The sequence below is a fragment of the Homo sapiens genome, chromosome 5, assembly GCF_000001405.40.
Source record: "Homo sapiens chromosome 5, GRCh38.p14 Primary Assembly".
In the NCBI taxonomy this organism is placed as follows: Eukaryota; Metazoa; Chordata; class Mammalia; order Primates; family Hominidae; genus Homo; species Homo sapiens.
In genome coordinates, this window is record NC_000005.10 from 143,066,017 (window position 1) to 143,092,593 (window position 26,577).

The window sequence follows — 26,577 nt, forward strand, 5'->3', positions numbered from 1 at the left end:
TAAGCCTTTATGTACAGTCATGCGCCACATAACAACGTGTCTATCAACGATGAACCACATATATGACAGTGGTCCCTTAAGATTATATCATGTTTTTACTCTATAGTTTCTATGTTTAGCTATGTTTAGATGCACAAGTACTTCCCATTGTGTCACAGTTGCCTACAGTGTTCAGTACAAACATGCTGTGTGGGTTTGTAGCCGAGGAGCAATAGGCTATACCACAGAGCCTAGGTGTGCAGCAGGCTCGACCATCTATCTGGGTTTGTGCAAATGCACTCTATGATGTTCACACAGCAATGAAATTGCCTAATGACATATTTCTCAGCATATCTCCATTGTTAAGCGATGCGTGACTATACTTCAAGTCTCTTCTTTCTGGAAAACCTAAAGTAATACAGTAATAGTGCCCACCCTTTTAGAGTTGTGCAGATTAAATTAATCTACACAAAGTTCTTAGAAGAGTGCCTGGCACATAATACACCTTCCATAAATGTTAATTTCTACAATCTGTTGGAGAAATCCGGGAACGGGAGAAAGAAGATGATAGAGCTGGTTTTAGGGTATGGGAAATTGGGGCAGTTGTTGAAACCAAAATAAGTCATTCTTGCTGACTAGATGGGGCTTTCTTCATAGTTTTGTTATTGGCAAGCAAAACCCTGAGGGCTGGATGCTGAAAACATAGCACACACAGCTCTTGTCCACTTGGGAGATTTCTGTGTGTGCATGTGTTTATTTTTGCCTTGCTTGTGTTTGCTTAGCAGTTTGTGTGCATTTGGCCCAAAGGGCTGAGCATCTCTCCCTTCCTAGCAGAAGATGAGCCAGCACAGGGGCAGCTGGGAGAAAGAGCTGTTCATATCTGGTTTCAGGTCCTACCTTATTGCAAGTCTCACACTTCCCTGTGAATATCAGGGCTCTTCGTGATTCAAATGCTCTGTGGGGTGGTGCACCTGTTTGAAGGAACAAGCCACGTAGGGCTGATTTCCATGGAGGTTACCTCCCCCTCCCCCTCCTCTGCCCCTCCCCCTCCCGCTTCTGCTTCTTGGTGTCGCAAGGCTGATTTCATCTCCGATGCAGCTGTCTTTGCTAGAGTTTAATAACTCTTAATTTCCTGGAGGGGGATGGCGCGTTATATCATGAAGACTCATCTTTGTCTGCGTGGTCTGGAAATTTCCACTCATCTTTGTGATCTTTGAGATGTTTCCCTTTGTGGGGGAGTCTGACTTTCCTTCTGTTTTACTCAGTTTGACTGCCCTCTCAGATGTCATTCCCAGATTAAACATGACCATCCACTGTGAAAACGGCCCTCTTGACCTTCCAGTTTCCCCCTGGGAGCAGTCTTCACATGGATTTCCTTTCCCGAGTTACTGAAATCTGTATTGAAGTATTAATCTATACTCTAAAGAAGGTCATGCCTATATTCAGCTTCATTCTGTTTTGGTAGATATTTTTTCACTTTTGCAGTTTCAGTCCAAGAAAGGGCTTGAACAAAAGTTCAGGGGGTTTGAATTTTGGTATCAGTCTTTTCTGCTTCCACACATACACAGGAAAGTTTTTCTTCCAGCAGTTTAGCATCCTGATTTATTTCGTGTTTCCAATTTGGTATTATAAGTCACTATTCTTGATTCTCTTCAGTAGGCGGTAAAGGAACACAAAATGTTGGGTCTTGTTGGTGTATTGCAAGCAGGTCTTGCTATGTACTTGGAGATGCCTAGAATTGGGTAGAATAGGGTCACTATTTTATTAAAGTCAGATATTCCATGAGAAAATGGGGCACCCTAGGCCTCAAAAATCAGTTTGTATATTAGTTCTTTGGCTGTAAGCAACAGATGTCAACTGTGGTTAATTTAAAACATAAAAACAGGGTCCAAGAGCAGTGGCTCATGCCTGTAATTCCAGCACTTGGGGAGGCCAAAGCAGGCAGATCACTTGAGGCCGGGAGTTCGAGACCAGCCTGGCCAACATGGTGAAACCCCATCTCTACTAAAAATACAAAAATTACCTGGGTGTGGTGGCATTTGCCTGTAGTCCCAGCTACTTGGGAGGCTGAGGTACGAGAATCGCTTGAGCCCAGGGAGGCAGAGGTTGCAGTGAGCCAAGACCATGCCACTACACTTCAGCCTGGGTGAGAGAGCAACACCTTGTCTCAAGAAATAAAATAAAAAATAAAAGGAATAAAATTTATTGAAAGGCTCCTGGGTCAATCACGTAATGGAAAGTAGAATTGAACCATCAGACATCGCAAAGCAACCTCAAGGGCGCTTGTGGTACCTGGCATCCTACTACATTTCTCTAGGCCATTTCTTCTCTTCTAGATGATCATCTCAGATGTTGCTTTTCATTCCACAGAGAAAATAGATACAATCAGAAGAGAACTTCTGCAAGCTACCACCACAATATCCACACCTGTGCCTATGTTTCTGCCATCTCTCCTGTGCGACAGGGGAACCCAGTGCTCCTACCTAAAGGCATTCCCTTTCCTGGGACACTAGAGCCGATTGACTCCCCGTTGGATCTGTAAGGACTTGGGTGCTTGAGTAGTTTCTCCCTCTTTCTTCTACGCCATTAACTTTTCTGTCTCTACTAAATCTTTCCCATCAGCACATAAGCATGTTGTAATTTATGCAATCCTTTGAAACATGAGAAAGGAAAAAGCAACAACTACAAAGAATCTTTCTCAATCCCATATCCCCTTTTAGGTACTATCCCATTTTTCTGTGCTTTTCCCAGAAGAACTCAAATAGTTGTCTGTGCTTGCTGTTCCCAAATCCTCTCTTCCCACTCATTCTTTCTTGAACCTCAGGCTTTTTATGCACACTAGTCCACTGAAATGCCTCATTATCAGTATTGCTGATGACCTCATGTTGCTGAATCAATTTCAGTGTTCCCTTCCTTAATTGCTCTGAAGGATTTAACACAGATTCCCACTCTCTCCTCCTTGATAAGCTTTCTTCACTTGGCTTCCAGGACACCATACTCTCCTGGTTTTCCTCCTGCCTCCTTGACTTCTGCTTCTCAGTCCTGTTTGCTATGCCCCAGGACTCTGTCCTTCAGGCCTCAGACCTCATCTCCCCTCCTGCCATCCTCTCTCCTTCCCAATGAGGTCTTCCTCGATTGTTTTAAGATTGCAGTCTCCAGCTCCTTCACTCCCTACCTACTAGAATTGCTTAATTTTTTCCCATAACCATGTCAGTATCTAATATACTATATATTTGATTTGTTTACTCGTTGTTTTCTTCTCCCCGAAATGTAAGCTCCACGAGGTTGGCAATTGCTGTCTGCTCTACACTACTGTATCCTTAGCAACTAGATCAGTGCCTGCACTGCTCAATAAATATTTGTTGAATAAGTGAATGAGTGGAAAATATCCAGGTAACTCATGGGTAGCCCTTTTCAAGCACTACCTTTATGATGTCTCAGTTCCAACTACCTTTGTCCCCTTGTGAATCTGCTGCAGGTTAACATTCCTAGTAAAAAGAGTTATAATGGTCTCTCCTGGGTAAGGTCCCCACATCTGTACTAAGGCGGTAGTTGGGGACTCACCTGTCTTTCTTGATAGGACCACATGTAATGGGAGAAAGACATCCAACTGGAAATTTTCCAAGGAAAAATTGGATGCCATCATTCAAAAGATGCCAAACAAGTAAAAATGTCAGCTGTTTATAGGAGTTGTGCTTGCTGAAATTCAGTTTTTTGCCTTAGAGAATTCCTGTTTTATATTAGAAGTTTCAGGTCTTGTTACAAATTTTAACTCTGTGATGGATCTTGTAAGTGCCTCAATAGCCCTATTATGCATCATTATGTGGAAGATAAGACCATCATCATAATAAATACAAAACAGCAAACAGCATTCAGATATTTTCCTAATACTTGGTTACACAGCTTGGTTCCCCAGAAGCCTGATTCTGTTTTTTTGGGAGCTAGCACTTCCCAAAGGCCTGGGCTCCCTTCACAGCATGTCTTCAGATGTCCCCTGGGCCCAGAATTGTCTCCAGTGGTGTTTGGTGGAGTGCCGATGGTAGCTTCTTGGTTCACCAGTCCTCAGAATCCAGCACATTTAAACCTGTTTTTTTTAAGTCACCAGGCAAATGTGGGGGGGTTCCCATGTCAAATATGTCTCTCAGGCTAGGTGGTTAGTCAGGTTTTCTTGTTCTCTGTATTAAAAGATAATCTTGCCATTTTGCTACTTTAAGAACTACATTTCCCTTCATAATAGAACTGCCACTTAAACTGCTTTGCATGCTACCTAGTTATGAGCTTCCCTTCCAAATGTTGTCTGTCCTACAAGGTCATTCTCCCCAGCCCTAACCAGATTGTTAATGAAGCAAAGAACACTGGCAAACATGTAGATTATCCCTTCTTTGTTATGTTATTAATATATAGTGACTCTTGACATAAATAGGCACATACCTACGCATAAATTTAACTAAGACGATTGAAAACTTCTACAAGAGAAACTACAAAACACTGATGACAGAAATTGAAGAGAATACAAACAAATGGAAAGACACCCCATGCTCATGGATCAGAAAAATTTATATTGTTAACAGGACAGCACTACCCAAAGCAATCTACAGATTCAGTGCAATCCCTATCGAAATACCAAGGACAGGCCAGGTGAAGGGGCTTATGCCTATAATCCCAGCACTTTGGGAGGCCGAGATGGATGGATCACCTGAGGTCAGGAGTTCCAGACCGGCCTGGCTAATATGGTGAAGCTCCATTTCTACTAAAAATACAAAAATTAGCCGGGCATGGTGGTGTGCACCTGTAGTCCCAGCTACTCTTGGGAGGCTGAGGCAGGAGAATCACTTAAACTGGGGACGCGGAGGTTGCAGTGAGCCAAGATTGTGCCACTGCACTCCAGCCTGGGTGACAGATCTTGACACTATCGCAGAAAAAAAAACAACAAAAAAACAGGGACATTCTTCACAAACATAGAAATAAAAAGTCCTAAAACTTATATGGGACCACAAAAGACCGTGAATAGCAAAAGCAGTCCTAAGAAAGAACAAAGCTAGTGGTATCACACTACCCAACCTCAAAATATACTACAAAGCTGTAGTAACCAAAGCGGCATGGTACTGGCATAAAAGCAGGCCTATAGACCAATGGAACAGAATAGAGAACCCCTAAATTAATCTGAATAGCAAAAGCAGTCCTGAGAAAGAACAAAGCTAGAGGTATCACACTACCTGACCTCAAAATATACTACGAAGCTGTAGTAACCAAAGCAGCATGGTACTGGCATAAAAGCAGGCCCATAGACCAATGGAACAGAATAGAGAATCCATAAATGAATCTACACATCTCCAGCCAGTTTATTTTTGACAAAGGTGCCAAGAATACTTACTGGGGAAAGGATAATCTCTTCAATAAATGGTACTGGGAAAACTGGATAATCCACATGCAGAAGAATGAAGGTAGACCACCACCTCTCACTCTGTACAAAAATCAACTCAAAATGGATCAAAGTCCTCAATGTAGGACCCAAAACAATGAAACTACTAGAAGAAAACACAGGGGAAATGCTTCAGGACATTTTTCTGGGAAAAGATTTTATGAATAAGACCTTAAAAGCACAGTCAGTAGAAGCAAAAATAAATGTGGCCCAGGAGTGGTGGCTCATGCCTGTAATCCCAGCACTTTGGGAGGCTGAGGCGGGCAGATTGCCTGAGGTCAGAGGTTCGAGACCAGTCTGGCCAACATGGTGAAACCCCATCTCTACTACAAAAAAATTAGCCAGGCGTGGTGGCATGCGCCTGTAATCCCCAGCCACTTGGGAGGCTGAGGCAGGGGAATTGCTTGAACCAGGGAGGGGGAGGTTGCAGTGAGCTGAGATTGCTCCACTGCACTCCAGCCTGGGCAACAGAACGAGACTCCATCTCAAAAAACAAACAAACAAACAAAAATTTGATGTCAAAGTCCCATTGTTAAAAGTCTTTTACACAACAAAGAAAACAATAGAATGAAAAGAACACCTACAGAATGGGAGAAAATGTTTGCAAACTACTTATCTGATCTATTATATACAAGGAACTCAAACATCTCAACAGGAAAAAAAAAAATCCCAATACAAAATGGGCAAGTGATCTGAACAGGTATTTCTCAAAAGAAGACAGATGGCCTGCAAATATATGAAAACATGTTCAATGTCACTAATCATCAGGGAAATGAAAATTAAAACCACAGTGAGGTATCATCTCTAGGATGACTATTATCAGAAAGGCAAAAAAATAAATGCTGGAGAGAATGGGGAGAAAAGGGAGGTCTTATACACTATTGGTGGGAATGTTTTCCATAGTACAGCCACTGTGGAAAGCAGTATGGAGGTTTCTTTAAAAACTGAAAATACAACAACATGATCCAGCAGTCCCACTACTGGAAACTATTCCAAAGGAAAGGAAATCATTACATTGAAGAGACATCTGCACACTAATGTTTCTTGCACCACTATTCATGATAACCAAAATATGGTACCAACCTATGTGTCCAGCAGCAGATGAATGGATAATATGTGGCATGTGTATATACACAATGGAATACTATTCAGCCATAAGAAAGAATGAAATCCTGTCATTTGCAGCAACATGGATGGAACTGAAGAACATTATACTAAGTGAAGAAACAAAGTTAAATACTGCATATTCTCACTCATGTGGAAACTAAAAAAGGTCGATCTCATAGAAGTAAAAAGTAGAAGAGAATACATAGAAGTAAAAAGTGAAAAAAGAAGTTACTAGAGACTGGTAAGAGTAGGGGAAAGGGAGGATAGGGAAGGATTTGTTAAAGATACAAAATTACAGCTAGATAGGAGAAATATAGTCTAGTATTTTATACTACTCTAGGATGACTATAAATAGTTTCAAACAGCCAGTAGGAGGATGTTGAACATTAACAATGAATGTTTGAGGTGATGCATTTGCTGATTACCCTGGTCTGATCACCATACATTATGTGTAGCAGAACATCACTATGTACCCCATGAATATGTACAATTATAATTTGTCCATTAAAAAAATAAAATTTAAAGAAGAAATTGTTTTAGTAATAGTTAAATCTGATCTTAGCTGAAACTTAAGGCAAACCTTTTACAAATATCTTGGTGCTTTTTGCTCCTTCTAATTTAGTTCCTCCTTAGGTGATGAGGGGAATCCAACTGAATTCCTAATAAACTAATCCATAAAGGACCCAGAATAGTGCCTCATTTTTTAAAAAAGTTTAAAGGTAAGTTCCAAAGCAAAAATTGTAAGTTACATGCCAGTAACTTTGGCATGTAAGGAGGCTGTCCTTGTATCCCTGTGTTCTTTGGGATTTGACAGCTTGTTGAAAACTATACTCTCTAGTGTTATTGATAAAGTTGGGAGCATCTCTGATTAAGCTGGCTCAGACTGAGCCAGACTGAGGTAAAGGAATGGGTCAGCCCAGCTGGCATCATTCATTTTGCCATGTATTAATATATTAAGTAATTGCTATGGAAAAGGCACTGACTTATCTATGAGGCTAATTATTTATTTCCCTATTGGCGGTAGGGGAGAGCATTGGCCCAGCAGGCAAGAGGTTCTAATCCTGGTTTTTACTAACTCTTTTTATGTATGATCTTAGGCTAATGTACCAGGCCTTCAGTTTCTTCATCTACAAAATGAAAGGGATTACTTTTGTATTTAAAAAGTATGTACACACACTGCAGTCAAGGAAAACTGTCTAGAAGGGTAGCCATCAGTATCTTAACTTGGGTTTTCTTCTCCTGGCTTCTTTATTTTTGAATTTTTATGAAATAACTGTGTGTGCTATTTAAAAAGTTGTAATTATTTTTTAATGAGAGGAGCAGACTCTGTGACTCTGAGCTCCCGTTAACTTCGAAGACATCTATGATTTTATACAGCAGGACTGGGTAGGACAGGACAGTCAATCCTTGGTTATTCGGAAACAGAATCCCTTTTGTCTGCTTTTGCTCCCTGACTTTTGTCTGCTTTTTGCTCATTTGCATTTTTACTGGAGAGTAGGCAGCAGAGAGAAAGAATACATTTTAGCAATGTAGAAATGGTGGTAAAACTTTTTATCTTAAAAAGGTTTTTGTGGATTTTTTTTCATTTTAACTAGTATTGCTAATGACTTTTAAGTACACCAATTTTTTTTCTGACTTCCTTAGACATTAATTAGTTAATTAGTGACCTTTCCTGTTATATAGAACTGGTTTAAAATAAAAGAAAAATAATAATAACAAACTGTATTATTTTGTGTGTGTGTTTCTGCATTGTTTTTGTCCTACTTACAGGTACTGTAAGGATCCACTGACTTTTCGTCCATTATAGAACTTTCTCTTCTCTTTTACTTCTCCTTCATCTATTTCAGTCTGTCTGGTATCCTGGCCTTTTTCCATTAATCTCTCTGCCCAGGTCTGCTAGAGAAGGGGTTGGAACACTCCATTGCTGGTTCTTGTATGACCTATAAGCTAATAATTTTTCTTAACATTTTAAAATAATTGAGAAAAAAATGCAAAGAAGAGTAATACTTCATGACACATGAACATTATATGAAAGTCAGATCTCAGTGTTCATAAAGTTTTATTGGAACAGAGCCATGCTCATTTATTTATGTGTTACCTATGGCAGCCTTCGAGCTAGGATGGCAGGTTGAGAAGTTGCAAGAGAACCACATGGCCTGTAAAAGCTAAATATTTACTCTCTGGTCCTTTAGAGAAGGTCTGCCAGAACTCCTATACTTGAGATTCCTTTTCCATTGGATGTCTCAGACCTAAGACATGTTTGGACTTGCTAACTCATTCAGCAGCTGTTATATCACATGCCTACAGCATGCCAGACACACTGCTAGACACAGGTATCCAAAGATGGACATGACACCTTCTCTGTTAGGAGGGAGGAGCTCACAGCCTAGAGGGTAGCATGGGCCTGTCCACAGGTGAACTACACTCCAGCTCTGTGTGCTGGTGCCAAGGTGTGAGATAGGTGCTGGGGAAACTCAGGAGGAGGACTGTGACTGCCTGGGAGGTGGGAAGAGAAGTGGGTTATCATTAGATAATGGATAGCAAAGGCTAGATAGCCTAAAGCTGCATGTTTTCTGTGCTGGTTACTTTTTAATTATAACTCTAGAATTGTTCCATTAAAGTTAATTGTTACCTAGAACAAGAGTTGTCATAATTTTAACAAGTGTGCCTTTAACATTTCAATTGCACATTAAAAATATTCCTCTATTATAGGGTCAACATTTTACAGAGCTATGTAAGTAAATATTATGTATAGTGATTTTAGTTTCTTATCAAAATATAAATATAAATATATATAAATATAATTTTATTAAAAATATGTATAAATTTATTTTAACAGTTGCTATTGGCAAAGGGGAATAGACTTTTAGGTCAAAATAGCAATTTTCATTTGCTTTTAAGTTTTTGAGTTTTTAAAAAAATGTTTCTCAGAACATTTAACAAAGGCTTAACTATATACCATAGTAGGGACGTTTGGTTTTTGTATAAAAAGGAGATCACTGGGCCTCACTCAAGATTTCCTGAATTATAATGGTGGGGATAGGCATGACATGCAGGGATTTCTATTTTTAATAAACTCCCAAGTGATTTCTATTTACACTAAAGTTTGGGAACTACTGCTAAGGACAATATTGATTAAATGTGCATTTTTAAAATTGTTATTAACTTTTTAATAGTTATGTTTTTGTTTTTGAGGCAAGGCCTTGCTCTGTCACCCAGGCTGGAGTGCAGTGGCGTGATCTGAGCTAACTACAACCTCTGCCTCCCGGGCTCCAGAGATCCTCCCACCTCAGCCTTCCAAGTAGCTGGGACTACAGGAGCACGCCACCAGGCCCAGCTAATTTTTGTATTTTTTGTAGAGATGGGGTTTTACCATGTTGCCCAGGCTAGTTTTGAACTCCTGGGCTCAAACAGTCCACCCACCTCATCCTTCCAGAGTGCTGGGATTATAGGCATGAGCCACTGTGCCTGGCCTTGTTTTTGTTTTTGTTTTGAAACAAGCTCTCACTCTGTCACCCAGGCTGGAATACAGTGGCACAATTACAGGTTGCTGCAGCCTGGACCTCCTGGGCTAAGGTGATCCTTACCCTCCCAAGTAACTAGGACTACAGGTGTGCGCCACCAGACCTGGCTAATTTTTTTTTTTTTTTTTTTTTGAAAAGCCAGTCTCATTATGTTGCCCAGGCTGGTCTCGAACTCCTGGCCTCAAACTATCCTCCCACCTCAGCCTCTCAAAATGCTGGGACTACAAGAATGAGCCCCCATGCTCAAGCTTTTCTGTCATCTCTGTCAGCCCCTGAAGTATACTGCACTTTTTAAAATTCTCTAAGACAATGTAAAGGAATCCTGATTGTCCAAAATGTGCACAGTCTCCCTCTTCTCCCTTTTTTTATTTTGAAATAGAGCAAAATGCACAAAAAATAATTTGGAGCATACATACTTGTATGTTTTGCTATAATCTTTCATGTATATATTTATATGTGTGGGCATATTTATATAACAGCTAACATTTGTCAGTTTGTTCCTTATCCCCAAATGTTAACATTGGCATCCTCTTTTGGCACACCCTGTTCAGTTCCCTTTGCTCTCCAGTGGAAAGCATTAACATGAATTTTAGCATATACCCTTTTGAACTATGTTTTGATACTTTAAAAGGGATTATTTTGTGTGTCCAAATATAGACGTCTGGTATTTGTATATGTGTTGTAATTTTCATAAATGCTATCAGGGTATACTCTAATTTTTCAGCTTGGGGTTTTCATTCAATTTTATTTTTTTGAGGTAAAAACTAGTTCATCTCTTTAAATGCTGTGTAAATATGCCACACGTTATTTATCCCTTTCCTCGTATTCCTAAGTGCACTGATAGGTGCTTAGAGTTGTTTCTAAAGTTTTTAACATTATAAGCAATGCTGCAGTGAACATCCTTGCAAACATCCTTTTGCACATGTGTGAGTTTTAGTAAGATGCATACCTACCTAGGAATGGAATTGCATAGTTTTTCTAGATAGTGCCACATTATTCTCTGTCATGACTGAATTGGCTTATATGCCTGATAGACTTTTCATTTTGGATCGATGGCTAGATATGGATACAGAATACTTCAGATGGCACTTAATGTGTCCCAGGCGGTGCTCTAAGTTCTGTGAATGCCTCAGGTATGTGGGCGCCAGTATTTCCCATTTACCATGAACTGTAAAAGAGTGGAGCAGGTTAGCTAAGCTACAGGTCTTGGAGTGGAGGCTGGTGGAATTGTGTTCCAGGCCAAGAATTGGAACAGCTTGGCTGAAGACCTGGAATATCAGGGAAGAAAAAGAACCCAGGAACTGAAGGATTAAATATCTTCATAGGATTACAGATGGGCTGATGTTGAACCACCCAGAGAGATCTGACATAGAAAACCCCAGCACCGGTTCTTCTCATTGTCCTCACTGGGGCTTTGGCAGGTCCTGCTTATGATAAAATGCAAAGGCTCTTAACCCTCTGCCACAAGCCTCCCTAAAAAGGGCTCTACCACCTCAGAAGCCAAGCAGCAGCAGACAGAACTCATAAAAGGCTCACCGTAGATGACTAGGACTAGGGCTCCTGGCTTAAGCAGGTCACCGTGGCTATGGGGTGCCACCATTTCTGGCTTGCACAGATGACAGGGCGCTGCCAGCGTCTTTGTGGAAAGTCTCTCTTGAGGATGGGTCTGAAATGTCTGACTGTTGTGAGCAATTTCTAAAAGTAAACTGTGCAATCAAAGAGAAGTCTGTCTTTCTGACCTTGGGTCTGCATAGCTATTCGGACCACCTAGAGGGTTCGAAGGCCAAGAGTAGGGTGGGGCTGTAGCTGTTGGTGCCTAGGCTCTTCTTTTCTGGGATGCAGACTGAGCATATCTCCCCTCCCCCAACCCTGGTTTCCAGGAATCTCCTTAAGCCCCTGATTGCCTCTCACCTTTGCTGCCAGCCTCTAAAGGCCAGTTCATCTCTGCATGCCCTCTCCTATATTCTACCACCATTGAAATGAACAAACTATTGTATTTTCTCACCTTCTGTGAGTGGACAGGAAGAAGGGAGGGAGGAAGCTAGCAGGCTAGTCAACCAAGAAAGAAAAACCTTAACAAAGTTTAGGTTCCTGCATTACCCAGCCAATCATGTTACGCTAACTCAATAAAAAATGAAGTTTCATTGCAGGGAAAGTAAGTCAGGACACCAAAATGATGTGTTAGCAGGGCTGGGCCTAGGGCGAGGCAGAAGAGACACCTGGGTGCAAAATTGAAGGAGGCAATAACCTGCAACCATCCCGAGAGTGAGTGAGGGCCTCTTTAAATGTGGCCTGGGTGTGTCTCCTGTCTAACTCTAGTCCTGCCCCTGCTGGATTTCAATTCGGATTTTGGTTTTTTATTTTGGTCAGTATCCAGACCTGAGTGTGTCCGTTTTATTCCCTCGGCTGTGGACACTGATGGACCGTGCTAGAGAAGAGATTGATTCAGTCTGCTTTTAGTTTGCCATCTCAGACTACATCTGGAATTTTATAGCAGTTGGGCGGGGTGGGGGAGGTTTTCAGATAATAGTATTTTGTTTCAGAGAAAACTTTTCAGGAATGTGTCTTGCTGGTAAGCAGAGACAATTGACAATTGCTTCTCTCCTATTAACATCAATAATTTAAACCTGTCCTAGAACTTAAATTATAATTGAGGCAAGAGGCAGATATTCAGACATATTCATTGAAAGCTGGCCTGTGTCCAACTGTGGTGAAATAAGACAGGTGGGTTTGATTGGCCTAAGAGGTGGAAAAATCAACTTTAGAGACTTTCTTAGCATCTGAGCTCTTTGGGTTCTTAAATACTTTCTTGATGGCTGACTGGTGAAACCGGTGGTTATGGTAGCATCACTAAACATACATGGCATTTTTATTTCAAGAAACCAAACTTCCAGACATGCACCTGATATCTTGATTGTGCTCTGCAAATGCAGAGTAATTTCCAGCTGGATCAGTAAAGGATAATATTGGCTGTGGGAAAAGTGCTAGGATTATTACTTTATCTTATCATGTGTTTAACTTTTCCTTTGTTTTCACATAACTAGTCTGCAGAAGGCCTGTCTCTCCCTCCTTTAACTTGTGCTCTCTTGGGAGTGCTTACAAGCTTTGTCATGTCTGAGTGCAAAGTCAGTTTGGAAATGGTAGAGGGATGGGAGGGCACAAAGGATCTATAGAGTTGGGCAACCAAACAAGTTAGGTGGAGGAAGCCTATGAAACATTATTTTTCTCAGACATCTACTGTGAAGTAAGCGCTTTCTCCTTTGGAGACTGCTAGAGCAGAAACCTCCCCATTTTTCTCCTTCTCTGTTTCCAGCGTCCTCTATGTGTCTATAAACACCTTTGCTACCAGGCTACGATTCTTTGGTCTTTGTAGTCGGCACGGGAGAAAGGCAGGCAGGGAGATCACCCAGGAAGCTCCCTTTGCCTTTTCAGAGTTAACGGTGCTGTGCAGCTGATTTGATTATTACATTTAACTGAAAAAACCTGCAGGGTGTGCCAGACACGGGACAACCAGCCTGGTATTGTCGGCCCCATACAAACCCTTCTCACTGTCAGACCGGATTAAACGAACATGTTTTTAAATATATTTACCTTGTTCAGGTCTTGGAGCAAGCACTTGCTTCATCTCAATGACTCCTTGGGATATTGTTATGTGTACATTGGACCTATTTTACCTGTGGACTCGTTTCCCTATAGCCTTAGCATGGTAACATTGGTGGAAATTGATCCAGTGGTGCAGCGTGCCTAGGGAAAGTGAGCTTGTTTGACAGAAGCTTTGCAGGGCCTAGGGAGAATCTAGAGATAGATGAGATGCAGGATTCTCCTGGTGCCCAAAGCCTAGGCTCATGTTGCCTCACATGGTCTTCTCCCTCTTTAAAAGACCAAGCCAGCTGTCACATAGCTCCAGAGCATCTGGATGGGGAGGATATACTGGGGAGCCTCAGGAGTATGACCTACCTCTGGATAGTGGGGGACCTTACACTATTCAAACACAAGTTCAGATGGCCATTCTAGTAGGTGAGTCCTGGTCACTCTTTTGCCTATAAGATGGGAGCTGACCTTTATATGTAGGACTGCTAGGAGCCTTTCACTTATTCATTCTTCAAATATGGGGATGCCTATTATATACCAAGTGCTATTCTAGGCATGGGGATATAGCAGTGCCCAAGACAGAGTCCCTGCTGTCTTAGAGCTTAAAGTTAAATTGAGGCAAGATGCAGATATTTGCACATATTCATTGAGTACCTACTCCGGATTTACGACCTGTGAATACAGTGGTAAATTTTTTTAAAAAATAGAAGTATAGACTAAATCCATTATAAAGATAATTTCAGGTGGTGGTAAGTGCCCTCAGGTAAGAGTAAGCCCAAGTATTGAGGATGGACAAGGAGCTGTGTTAGGCCAAGTGGTCAGGGAAGGCTCTCTGAGGAGGTAGCATTTAAGCCATGACCTGAATGAAGTGAGAGAGCAAAGCCCTGTGAAGAGGTAGAGGAAGGTTCCTCCAGGAAGAGGGAACAGCAAGTGCAAAAACCCTGGGAAAGGCACCTGCTTGGTGTGGAAACACCCTGGGCGTGGTCACGGAACAGTAAGATCTGTGTGGTACAAGCTGAGTTTGCAGAGCTAAGCAGGGGCCAGATGAAGTGGTAGCTTGGGGACCTCAGGAAGAAGTTTGAATTCTGTTCTAATTGTAATGGGGAGCCACTGGAGGGTTCTGAGGGTGTGAATGGCACAATCTGTGGTGAGGGTGTTTCTTTTCCCAAGGACACCCAGTTGCTCTATGGCAAATGAGCTGAACAGGAGCTAGTGTGGTGTTGGGGAGGCTGAAGCAGTAGTGCAGATGAAAGACACTGGGGCCTGGACTAGGGTAGTAGTGGTGGAAATGCTGAACAGTGGGCACATTTGGGATATATTTTTAAAGATAAGGCCAACAGGATTAACCAATGAGCTAGATGTGATATGTGTAGGGAAGGGGGATAAAGGATGACTCCTGGGTTTTTGGCCTTCACTGGGGGAGAAACGGAGGTCTTGTCTTGTTTTATTGTTGTGGTGGAGTGGGTGGGTGTTGGGGTAAAGACACCAAAAGTTCTACTGAGAGCTCTCAGCATACAGATTATTCTTTCTTGTATATCAACCACAGGACTGATGAGATCACTGAGGGCAGGTCTGTGGATAGAGGAGGAGAGGAGCCAGGACAGAGTCCTGGGGCTCTACAGCATTTAGAAGTGGGAAGAGGAGGGTCTGGCAGTGAAGATGGGAAGGAACAGCCTGGGATCAGAGCAGAGCCTTTGGCTGTATTCTAGTCAGGACTCACACCATAGAGAATAAAATAAAATCAAACTCTGGAAGACTAAGCACGCTGTTTGGGGAATATATTACTTGGTTGCTTTAAGACAATGACCTATGTTTTCCATTGATGTAATTGGAAATGGCACAGTTTTGAAGAGTGGAAGTCCTGGAGTCAAACAGACCTGAGTTCAAATTCCATTTATAGCACTTACCAGCTGGGGGACCTCCAGAAAATTACCTACCATCCGAAGACGGTGAAAACAGAGGTGTCCTTGTTTATAAAATGGGAAGAATAATAGGATCCATCTCAGAGTCAGTGTTGTCAAGATTGAGTTGATGCATGCAAAGTGCATATCCAGTTTCTGGCATGGAGTAAGGGCTTAAAAATGGTAGCTTTTGCTGGGAGCAGTGGCTCACGCCTGTAATCCCAGCACTCTGGGAGGCCGAGGCCGGCGGATCACAAGGTCAGGAGTTCGAGACCATCCTGCCGAACACAGTGAAACCCCGTCTCTACTAAAAATACAAAAAAATTAGCCGGGCGTGGTGGTGGGTGTAGTCCCAGCTACTCGGGAGGCTGAGGCAGAAGAATGGCATGAACCCGGGAGGTGGAGCTTGCAGTGAGCCGAGATCGCGCCACTGCGCTCCAGCCTGGGTAACAGAGGGAGACTCCATCTCAAAAAAAAAAAAAAAAAAAAAAAAATGGTAGCTTTTGTCTGAGTAACTCTTTCTCTGGATCTGTTGCTGGGGACGTTTGAGAGTTTGGAATACTGTATTTTCTACTTTGCATTTTTGGGTCTTGCTTTGCTATTTATAACTTCTGTTTAGTATCTGTTGCTGGCTCTTAGCATAGTGATAATGCCGTGATTGCTTCAGCCTTGACACTTGTCCCACCCCCCAAGACAATAATTATGTCACCCTGGAGGTGTTAGGAAAAATTCTTCTAGGATGAATGAATTGAGCATTCTCTCTGGACTGTCACAAAAATATGGAGTTGTGTTTACTGTTCCCATCCAGAAAGAAATGCTCTCATCACTATCTGTCCCTGCTCAGAAGTCATGAGGAATAACAATTTATGCCCAAGAATTTATGAGGAACATAAAAAATAATAAAATTAGTTTGAATTTGTTGAAAACCTGTTATATGTCAGGTGCTTTAGATATCTGGTATCTACTATCATTGCAGAAGTCCCCAAAAGCAAAAATTGGGATTTTTAATTTACAGAGGAGAACACTGAGATTCAAAGTTACATACCTTGCCCAAAGTCACACTGCTACCAAGTTTCAAAGTCAAGAATTGTATTCATGTTTCTGGCTGAGTCTTGAGCCTATTTTGTTCTCACTATACTGTAGCCGCACATAAGCGTAATTACAGATCTGAAACCAAGAAGATGGGAGTTGTATATAGCTCACTTTAGACATACCTCTCCTTCTAAAGTATTTTATTTCTCTTTGAATTTCATAAAATAAGATTATTCATTTTCAAATCACAAAAGCCTAACTGATGTTTTCCCATGGCTTCTGTTTAAAAGAGTTTTCCTTTTCTACAGAACGTCACGGGTTTTTGAGTTTAAAAATGAAGGGAAGAGGTTGATGTAGCTCATTTTTATTTTGGTATTCATAGCTAAATATCATATTCTTTAAGCAAAGATTGTCACTGTAGAGTGACATTTTGCATTTTGCTGGACCATATCGATGAGTTAGAGCTACCAAGAATCTCAGCCGAGTATAATACAGCAGTCGAAGGCAGTCTCTATGTATCTTGGGGAAGCTAGAGCTGGAGACTTTTTCTTCGTCTTCTTCCTTTTTCTTTTTCCCATTAGTCACAGGTGTCATTGTTTCCTAGCTATGAGCTAGTTTACATTATTAGGCCACGGATCACTTCCTCTGGAAACTGGTTTACCATGCAGATATGATCCTAAAATTCCGGCTGTATTTCTGCTCAAGCATACATCGCAGTAACCGGCCTAATGATCAGTTTTACTCCTGCCAAATTTATCTTTGTCTCGTTTTCTCCCCCTTTGCTCCACTCAGGCATACCTTGTGAGATGAGAGAGCAAGTCTTATGTCTCTTAATATCTCCAGCATCCATTCTGTTGACCACATCATAAGAGCACAGTAAATATTTTTTGAGTGGAGAAGAATTTCCTGTTTAAGCTTTTTTACTTCTTTTTGTTGTTGTTTGGAGACAGAGTTTCGCTCTTTTTGCCCAGGCTGAAGTGCAGGGACACAATCTTGGCTCAATGCAATCTCCGCCTCCTGGGTTCAAGCGATGCTCCTGCCTCAGCCTTCCAAGTAGCTGTGATTACAGGCACCTGCCACTACACCCGGCTAATTTTTGCATTTTTAGTAGAGATAGGGTTTCACCATGTTGCCCAGGCTGGTCTCAAACTCCTGAACTCAGGTGATCCATCCACCTCTGCCTCCCAAAATGCTGGGATTATAGGCATGAGCCACTGCACCCAGCTGCTTTTTTATTTCTTAACTCCGATTCAATATATCTTTCTCCCATCTTATATCTCAGACTTATCCCTCTAATAAGAAAACCTTGAGATACTTCATTTGCAAAGGTTGAGTTTCAAGTCATTATATTACGTGTCATAAAAATTAAGGCATGATTTTAGAGCAAACAGTGTTCTTCAAGATAAGAGGAGACACTCTTTAGTTCTTTCCACTTTAAAGCATCTGCAGGCTCTCGCCGTCCACGTCATTGACTTTTATATGATGCCACCAGCTCATCCGGATGCATTCAAAGTGTGGTCAAAACTATAATTGAGTGGGAATTTAACAACCTTCAAAAGACTCTGCCTTAATGACCCGACTGTAGGGGACAGATTAATTTTCAGTAAGATTTGGGATCATAACTGTGGTCACAGTATTCCCTGCCATTAAAACTTAATCCTAGTTTAAAAAATTAAAAAATAAGTTTTTCACTATATGCTATTAAAATAGAAAAAAGAGAACAAGAACCAGACAGATTTAGCTGTCTGTGCCCAGCCATGAGCTCTAGATTCTCATCACTCTGTGCTGATTGATTGGCAATGGCTCATAGAAATGAATTTGGAATGCATGGAAAAGCTGCTCACCCTCTTTTTGTTCCCTTGAGCGGAATGCATGGGGTGCTTATGGGAAATCTGGCAGAAGAGCAGGGGAAGGTTTATGGCCTGAGTTTCCACAGATTTGGAGGGAGGCGTGTTTTTAACCAAAAGGGAGCCCTGCCCTTTTTACTGCCCTACTTACAGGGAACTCTGCCCTCTCCAGCGTGGCATACAAAGACATCTTGTGATCTGGACACTGCTTCCTCTCCAGCCTCGCCTGTCTCCACTCCATGCCAAAGGCTCGCTGCTTTGGGAATAACCAGCTGCTTGTAGGGCACACAGTCACACCTCTTTGCCTTTGCTTATGCCAACATCTCCGTTAGAAATACTTTCTCCGCTGGGCGCGGTGGCTCATGCCTATAATCCCCACACTTTGGTGAGGCCGAGGTGGAAAGATCACGTGGTCAGGAGATGGAGACCATCCTGGCCAACGTGGTGAAACTCCGTCTCTACTAAAAATACAAAAATTAGCTGGGCGTGGTGGCGCGTGCCTGTAATCCCAGCTACTCAGGATGCTGAGGCAGGAAAATTGCTTGAACCAGGGAGACGGAGGTTACAGTGAGCCGAGATCGCGCCACTGCACTCCAGCCTGGGCAACAGAGCAAGACTCCATCTCAAAAAAAAAAAAAAAAAAAAAAAGAAACGCTTTCTGCACGGGTAGAGTTTCCTCTCCCTCACCCCATGCGTTGTGCGAATTGTGGTCCCGGCCCCGGAAACTCTTGATTCGCTTGTTTTTCTTCCTCTCTGTTAGAGGACAAGCTTCTTGATGATAGGCCCCAGTGTCTATCACATCATTTGTCCCACTCGGCCTGGCCTGCAGTAGGTGCTTCATAGAACATCCTCTGGTGGCAGATAGTAGGGGAGACATTCACCAGTTAGTCTCATATACATATGTGATGAAAAACAGAGGCAGAGCATAGGGTCTCTAATTTGGGGATAGGGGAGGTGGGTAATGTAAAGAAATTGAGAAATTAGTTGAGAAAAAAGAGGGGGACAAGAGGGAAGAGAGTTCCAGTTAATGGCATGTGTGAAGGCAAGCAGTGTCACAGGAGTACAGAGAGGAAAAGGTCAAGGTACAGATTAGCTTAGGAGAACGCGACAGAGGCAATAATGTAACTGCATATGATGATGAATTTTTAAGCCAGATAATTAGTCTGAGTTTTATAACTAGGCAGGCAACACTGAAAGTCAGAGCTGACTCTATTCATGCTGTCCCTGTCCCAGACTTTGAGGATAGCGGCAGCAGATGCAGAGCGCTCCACAGCATTGGTTCAGTTAAACCAAGTGTTTATCCATCTGGTTGGATTTGAGTGAGTGCCAAAAGTTAGCTGAGGATTCCCAGCCCTGAAGTGGCTGTGGGTACGAGGAAGGAAACAAACCTCCTTAACCGAAAGAATGTCCTGAATTTCAAACTCATTGGAAACCATCTTGGTTGCTCAGATTGTCTTACTTTTTAAAAAATGGTTTCTTATAATATTTAAATAGTTTTAGCTACATTTTCCCTATTATGCAAGGAAAGGTTTGACTTCCTAAGGCTGATAGATTTCCCATTAATAATTTTTTTCACAAAGAAACAAGGCAAAACCCTTGTTTTTATCCTAGTCTTTGACTGTCAGAGCTGGCCTTTCAGGGTTCCTTATGGTATCTGCTAATGGTGGCTTCTATCACCTGTAAAAGAACAGGAGTTGATCAGATCTTGTCATCAGATATGATGATAAGAAAAATGTTGGAAGAATGTTTTTCTCTCCAGAGTATCTGGAAAAAGAATTATTCCAGATGGCTATATTAAGTTGCATATAGCCATTCAAGGAACTAGAAAACTTCCAGTCCCCTCTGGCATTACTAAAATGACACAAACCCATTGTTGATCATTTTTCTAGAATTTTGACTGTGGGGGAAATAAACTTGGGCCTCCATCTTTATTTTTAGAGTCTTATACAAGCAACTTTTGCCAGCACACTTGGTTGGGTTCCTGAAGAGATGAGAAAGTAAGAAGTTGCTTCAACGAGCCATAAATTGGGAAATAAACTTGGGACTCCATCTTTATTTTTAGTGTATCATGTAAGCAAGTTTTGCCAGCATACTTGTTTGGGTCCCTGAATAGATGAGAAAGTAAGAAATGACTTCAAGGAGCCATAAATTCTAATCCTGGGTTCCTTTCACCTTGGACATTCTAGTCTGAAGAGTGAAATGCTCACTGCTCTAGGGTTTATTAGCTGGAGATTGAGCCAGTCTGCCTTGTATTAGTCAAGATGTTTTCTGTCTTTCTTAGCACTTAAGGCTGCTGGTGAGATGCTTTGGCTATAAATTTTCTTGTCCAGCCTAAGTCCACATCTTGAGTCTTCCCTCTCGCTCAGGGGTCTTATTACTACAGAACTAACTTTAGTTGATATGGAGGGGGGCCACTGGACATGACTGGTTCTTCCAGCACTCAGATATCCATGAATGTCTGCAGCCACATTAAAGTTTTGGATCCTCCCCGCCTACCCCCTACCTCCACTGTCTCAAATATTTATTGATATCGCCCATTTGGTGCAGCTCCCGCAATTCAGTCTGCTGAGTTTTACGAGCTTGCTAGATCATGTTCCAAAAAGATTCCCAAGCACTAAAGTGTTTGCCAGGGTCCTTGGCATTGTGACTCATGTGTGTTATCAGGGGCCTCAAATATACTATGCCTTAAGATTTGTGCAGAATTCAGAGTGTAGTCACTACCTCTTTAGAGTCCAGACTTCTCTGCTAATGAGGACCTGCTGAGGCATCAAGACATTAAATATGATTCCTTACATGCATTCAAATTAAGGTGTTGTAAGCCTCCCCTGTTTTCTCACACTGTGGGAAGCCAGAGCTGTTGCCACTTGTGCTATAAGAACTTGGTTCTTTCATTGGAATTAAAGGAATTTGCCCTTCAGCAACTATAAAAGGATGAGTATCTAACTGTTGTGTTTGTTTGGAAAGCAGTTTAGTGCCAGACAGGCATGCCTAATAGAGTTCAGGAGACTGCAGTCCCTCCTAACCCTTTTGTTTACTCATGGCCAAATTTAGTATATGCCAGCCCCTAACATCTGGCACTGTGCTCCCCATACCCTCTCCATTGCAGCCATAGTAGCCTTCGAGTTCTTCAGACATGCTCTCCTCCTCTGACCCTAGGGCTTTTGTCTGTTACCTATGCCAGAATACTCCTCCTCATCTAATTAACCCTGGCCCATTCTTTTTTTTTTTTTTTTTTTTTTTTTTGAGACGGAGTTTTGCTCTTGTTGCCCAGGCTGGAGTGCAATGGTGCGATCTCGGCTCACCGTCCACAACCTCCGCCTCCCAGGTTCAAGTGATTCTTCTGCCTCAGCCTCCCGAGTAGCTGGGATTACAGGCATGTGCCACCACGCCTGGCTAATTTTGTATTTTTAGTAGAGACGGGGTTTCTCCATGTTGGTCAGGCTGGTCTCGAACTCCTGACCTCAGGTGATACACCCGCCTCGGCCTCCCAAAGTGCTGGGATTACAGGCATGAGCCACCACGCCTGGCCTATCCTGGCCCATTCTTTAGAAGAGTGAGTCCTTCTCAAACATGAATCACCTGGGAAGCTTGTTAAAATGCAGGTTCTTCATTAGGGCTGGAAGGGTCCTGGGATGTGGCACTTCTAAAAGGTCTCACATAAAGCTGGTGCTACTGTTCCTCACGGAATCCTTCCCTAGTCTTCAGTTAAGTCAAAAGTTCCCCATTTTATGTGCTTCTGAGATTATATATCTGTCCTTCATAGGGCATTCTTCACAATTGCATATTTCCTTTTACTTGTGCCATTTTCTGATTAATGTTCATCATTTACACTAAACTGTAAGCCCTATGTGTGCAGTGACCACCTGTGATCTTTGCTCACGCTTTTGTTTTCAGAACTTGTTATAGTGGGACATATACGGTTGTACTATATATGTACTAGGATATACAGGTGAGTAGATGATGGTTGTATTGGCTGTTGACAGAATGGTTAAATATATTGTTCTGAGATGCCATGATGATCATAAAACTCAGGGGTTTGGACCAAATTGTTAAAAAAAAAAAGTGGTTATGTCTTTATTATTTTCAAGGTAAGGACCTCCTATAACATTTAAATTTCATGTGAAGCAGAAAGAACCCAAGATAATCTGAGACTGAAAAAAACTCATGATAATGCTGTAAATAAAGTTTCGGTGCCGCAAAAGGAATAGCACTCGAATATAAAATTTTCTTTATAATTCTCAGCAAGGCAAGTTACTTCTATAGAAGGCTGCGACCTTACAGATGGAGCAGCGGTGAGCGCACACTTTGGCAAGGGAGGGGAAGGGGTTTTTATCCCTGACATATGTGATCCCTGCCGCTGTGTCGTTCCCCTATTGGCTAGGGTTAGACTGTACAAGCTAAACAAATTCCGATTGGCTAATTTAAAGAGAGTGACGGGGTGAGTGGTTTGGCGGGAAAAATGGTTATGACAGAGCAGATAATCGGAATGAGTCAGGGGGTAGCAGGTAATGGGAATGAGTCAGGGTGGAGCAGGTAATTGGAATGAGTTAGGGTGGAGTAGGTAATCGGAATGAGTCAGGGTGGAGCAGGTAATTGAAAAAGGTTGCTTTACGAGGAAGTTAAGTTTAAAAGTAGAAGGCAAATAATTGAACATACTGACGTACTGATTCTTTGAAAATAAATTTAAAACTTATATCTAACAATCCCTCCTCTTGCATTTCCTTACAGCTTTCTTTTTAAACTTTTTAACGTGTCTTGGCTTAGTTGTTTTGCTGGATTTTCCAAAAGAAGAAGCTTCTCTGGATAAGGTGGAGGATAGTTAAGGGAGGTTTTAGTAAGTGCCATTTTTATGAGCCTCTGCACCAACCCACGGATGCATAGTGTGACACAGCACCCGACAAGAATAAGTACACCCATTATGGCTGCGAGGGAAGTAAGAATTGAGGCTATTATTCTTTTCCATTTACCGAACTACTTTCTATTCATGCTGTAAAGGGGTCATTTACCCCTGAGTTGTTGGCTAACTCATTGGACAGAGCAGTCAGACCTTGTAATGCCTTTGTTATACTTCCATCAGGGGTGGTGGTGTTTTGGGATGAAGGTACAACACTGAGTTTTAATCACGATACAAACTCTTCCTCTTTTTGCTACTATCATGTCTAAGGCTATCCTGTTTTCCCAAGCCATCTGGCTAGTGGCCCCTAATTGCTTAGCTATTCCTTTAACAACATCTCTAGTGTAGTTAGTAAATCACTGTTGGTTGTAATAGATCTAGTTTATCCAATCTACATTTTTATTAATTTTCACTCACCAAAATATTGACTCAAATTCTGCAGCTATTTTATTTCGGGCTTGAAATTGTTCTGGTATTCCCCATGGGACTCTAATTGTGTCTAAATAGACGTAAGAGTTGAAAGACCCATAAGGGCCTTCTCTCGCTTCACGATGTCTTATTTTTTTCTTTTTCTGGTTGATGAAATGCCAGGGTGAAAGGGATAGCCAATTGGACTAAAGCATAAGTGCCACTCCAGTTATTCGGCAGAGTGTCCAGTAAAGGTCCACCACAATACCACCACACATCCGTTTGGGGATGAACAAGGGCTGACTGATTGATGAGCTCTTGAAAATTCTTAAGCTCACTGCATCCTTTCAGGTCTCCAAGGAACACTAAGTTTCCTCCCTGTCGTGAACTTAGTGTTGGGAGACGGAAGCTGGATGGCCCTTGGGGGCTGACCCGCAGGGTGCCGGACTTCGGGATATAGCAGAGAGAGAGCGTGGCATGACTTGTTACTCCAGGCTGTAGAATCCTGGGAAAGAGCTACCATGCAGCCCATGCCCGGTTGACTGGAGGACCACCCTAGTGGAAAGGGGACAGTCTGGGCCTCTGGCCTGCTGTGCGCACAAGCATAACAATTGCTTTTGTTTAACGTGTGAATGGAATATTTGATCCATTCCAACCAGGCATTTGCATCTTGGTATCCTGTCTTAATTGCCAAAGTTTGTTTTAAGTCTTTAACTTCTACGATAGCTATCTCAGTCGTGTCATTAGATGGAGAAGGAGCAATTGTTCCCTTGTGAGAAGTTTTGGAAGAAGGCTTAGAGGAAGGTGCAGGTGGCGGGGGATCAAAGAAACGCATTTCAAATAATCTAATAGGGTCTGTCCCTGAAACCTCAGCCCCCATAGAAGAAGGGAACTGGCTTAGAAAAGGGGGAGAACTTGAGGGTTTGAGATAATAACCTGTGTAGAATTACACTGGGTTAGCTGATGGGGGAGGGCTGTCCCTCTAGTAAAATGAATGTATGGTTTTAGGAAATTGCAAAAACCTGTTGGCAATTCATTCTTGCTCTTTAGTGGTCCGCAGAACATTGGACCAACTACATCATAAAAGCTTTACATTGGGGAGCAAGACTCCTGGTTGATACTGGGGTCTTTATCGAAATCTCCCCAGATTAAATGGTCCCAATTCACTAATGCCCAGTCTTAGGAGACTCAGGAGGGACAGAGGTACTTTTCTGAAGTAGAGAGCTGTCTTTGACTTGGTCAGTCCCCACAGGGTATAACAAGACAAGCATTAAATGCAATAGTTTGAGGCAAAATTGACTTGGTTATGTTAATAACTAGATGGTCAGCAATAGAGCGAGTAAAGAAAAAAGAGTAATAGAATAGATGAATGAAAGTTAAATTTCTTAGCTTTAGTTTGGTAGGGTTTTCCCCTGGGACTATGGCCCACGACTCTGGAGGGGGCGGCGCTTTCTTGACTCGGGTGTGATGAGTCCATCCGCTTTCCGCTGTATGAACAGCAGTCTCAGTGGTTAGCAGCACAAGGTAGGGTCCTTCCCAGGCTGGCTTGAGTTTTCCTTCTTTCCACCCTTTGATGAGAACATGATCCTCAGGCTGGTGCTATTTACCAGAAATTCTAGGGTTGGTACCTGTGCTAAAAGACTTAGTTTTGCGGGAAAGGAAAGTGGAAGATAAACCAAGTATATAATTTCTAAGAAACTGATCTTTTGTTTTAAATGTGGGGACATCAGCAGTGGACTTTATAGTCCTTGGTACCTTTTTACTGAGAAATTTCCTTTAGCACCTATTTTTATTAGTTTCTAGACCAAAGAAAGCCAAACACCATTTTATATTTGACAGTGCTTCCTGTATGACTTTTATACCAGATAAACTAAATTTCACCTTTATATTAATGTGTTATTAATGTTAAACTCAATTTTAATTAAACCTTGTTGACATAGTTATCCAATTTTAACATCTGACCATAAGGTAAGATTTTTATAGACTCTTTTTAACCTTTTATAATTTTTGTTAAAGAGCAGGTTAGTGCTTTAAGAAAGACCTGTTGTGCTTTTATTTTAATATCCAGTTCACGGAAAAACTGGATACCACTTTAACTTTAGCCAATATGTTTACACACGGAATTTCCTTTACAATGAATGTTTCAAAACTTGCTTAAACCTTTAAAACAAAATATATATTTTTAACCTTTTAATGTAGGTAGAAATCCACATTCTTATGCCTCCTTATAATCCTTTTACCAAAGTTTTATTTTACTTTCCTTATACACCTTGCACATAAACTGTTTCTTCAATAGTTTTACATTCAGGAGGCCTAATTACTTTTAAATTATACAATATTTCTTGCATAAATTCCCTTTTATAACTTTTTTTCATGACTTTTACAGACAATTCTTCGACATGCCTCAACTTTCTGACTTGTTGCAAACATCCCTTTGTTTTTTTTTTTGTTTTTTTTTTTTTGAGATGGAGTCTCCCTCTCGCCCAGGCTGGAGTGCAGTGGCACGATCTCGGCTCACTGCAAGCTCCGCCTCCCAGGTTCACGCCATTCTCCTGCCTCGGCCTCCTGAGCAGCTGGGACTACAGGCACCCGCTACCATGCCTGGCTAATTTTATTGTATTTTTAGTAGAGACAGGGTTTCACCATGTTAGCCAGGATGGTCTCGATCTCCTGACCTCGTGATCCGCCCACCTCGGCCTCCCAAAGTGCTGGGATTACAGGCGTGAGCCACTGCACCCGGCCACATCCCGTTCTTTAAACAACCAGTTAATTTATTTTAGGATAAGAATTCACCATATAACATTCCTTTTTACATAAATTCTCCCCCCCCCACCTTTTTTTTTCTCAAAAATGATAACCATGCTTTTCCAAA

At 41.9% G+C, this 26,577-nt stretch overlaps 1 protein-coding gene across 38 annotated transcripts in view, besides 1 other annotated feature; it reads left to right on the forward strand.

Moving 5' to 3' along the window:
• The window catches only part of ARHGAP26 (Rho GTPase activating protein 26), a 458,635-nt gene that overhangs the window by 295,640 nt on the left and 136,418 nt on the right, over positions 1–26,577 (forward strand). For 2 of the 38 annotated variants that reach the window (XM_047416991.1, XM_011537611.4), the window contains exon 18: positions 2,350–3,354. The exons of the other annotated variants lie outside the window; for them this stretch is intronic. In XM_047416991.1, coding sequence (XP_047272947.1) covers positions 2,350–2,521 — 172 coding nt within the window. In that variant the 3' untranslated portion in view covers positions 2,522–3,354. Of the gene's footprint in view, positions 1–2,349; positions 3,355–26,577 lie in introns of those variants that run through there. 38 annotated transcript variants of the gene reach the window in all.
• Positions 24,074–24,665: an enhancer, noted in NCBI's record as "OCT4-NANOG hESC enhancer chr5:142469655-142470246 (GRCh37/hg19 assembly coordinates)". NCBI's record gives its function as "activates a minimal SCP1, AML or CMV promoter by ChIP-STARR-seq in naive H9 embryonic stem cells {active_cell/tissue: H9 hESC(naive)}" and the evidence as "EXISTENCE:reporter gene assay evidence [ECO:0000049][PMID:30033119]".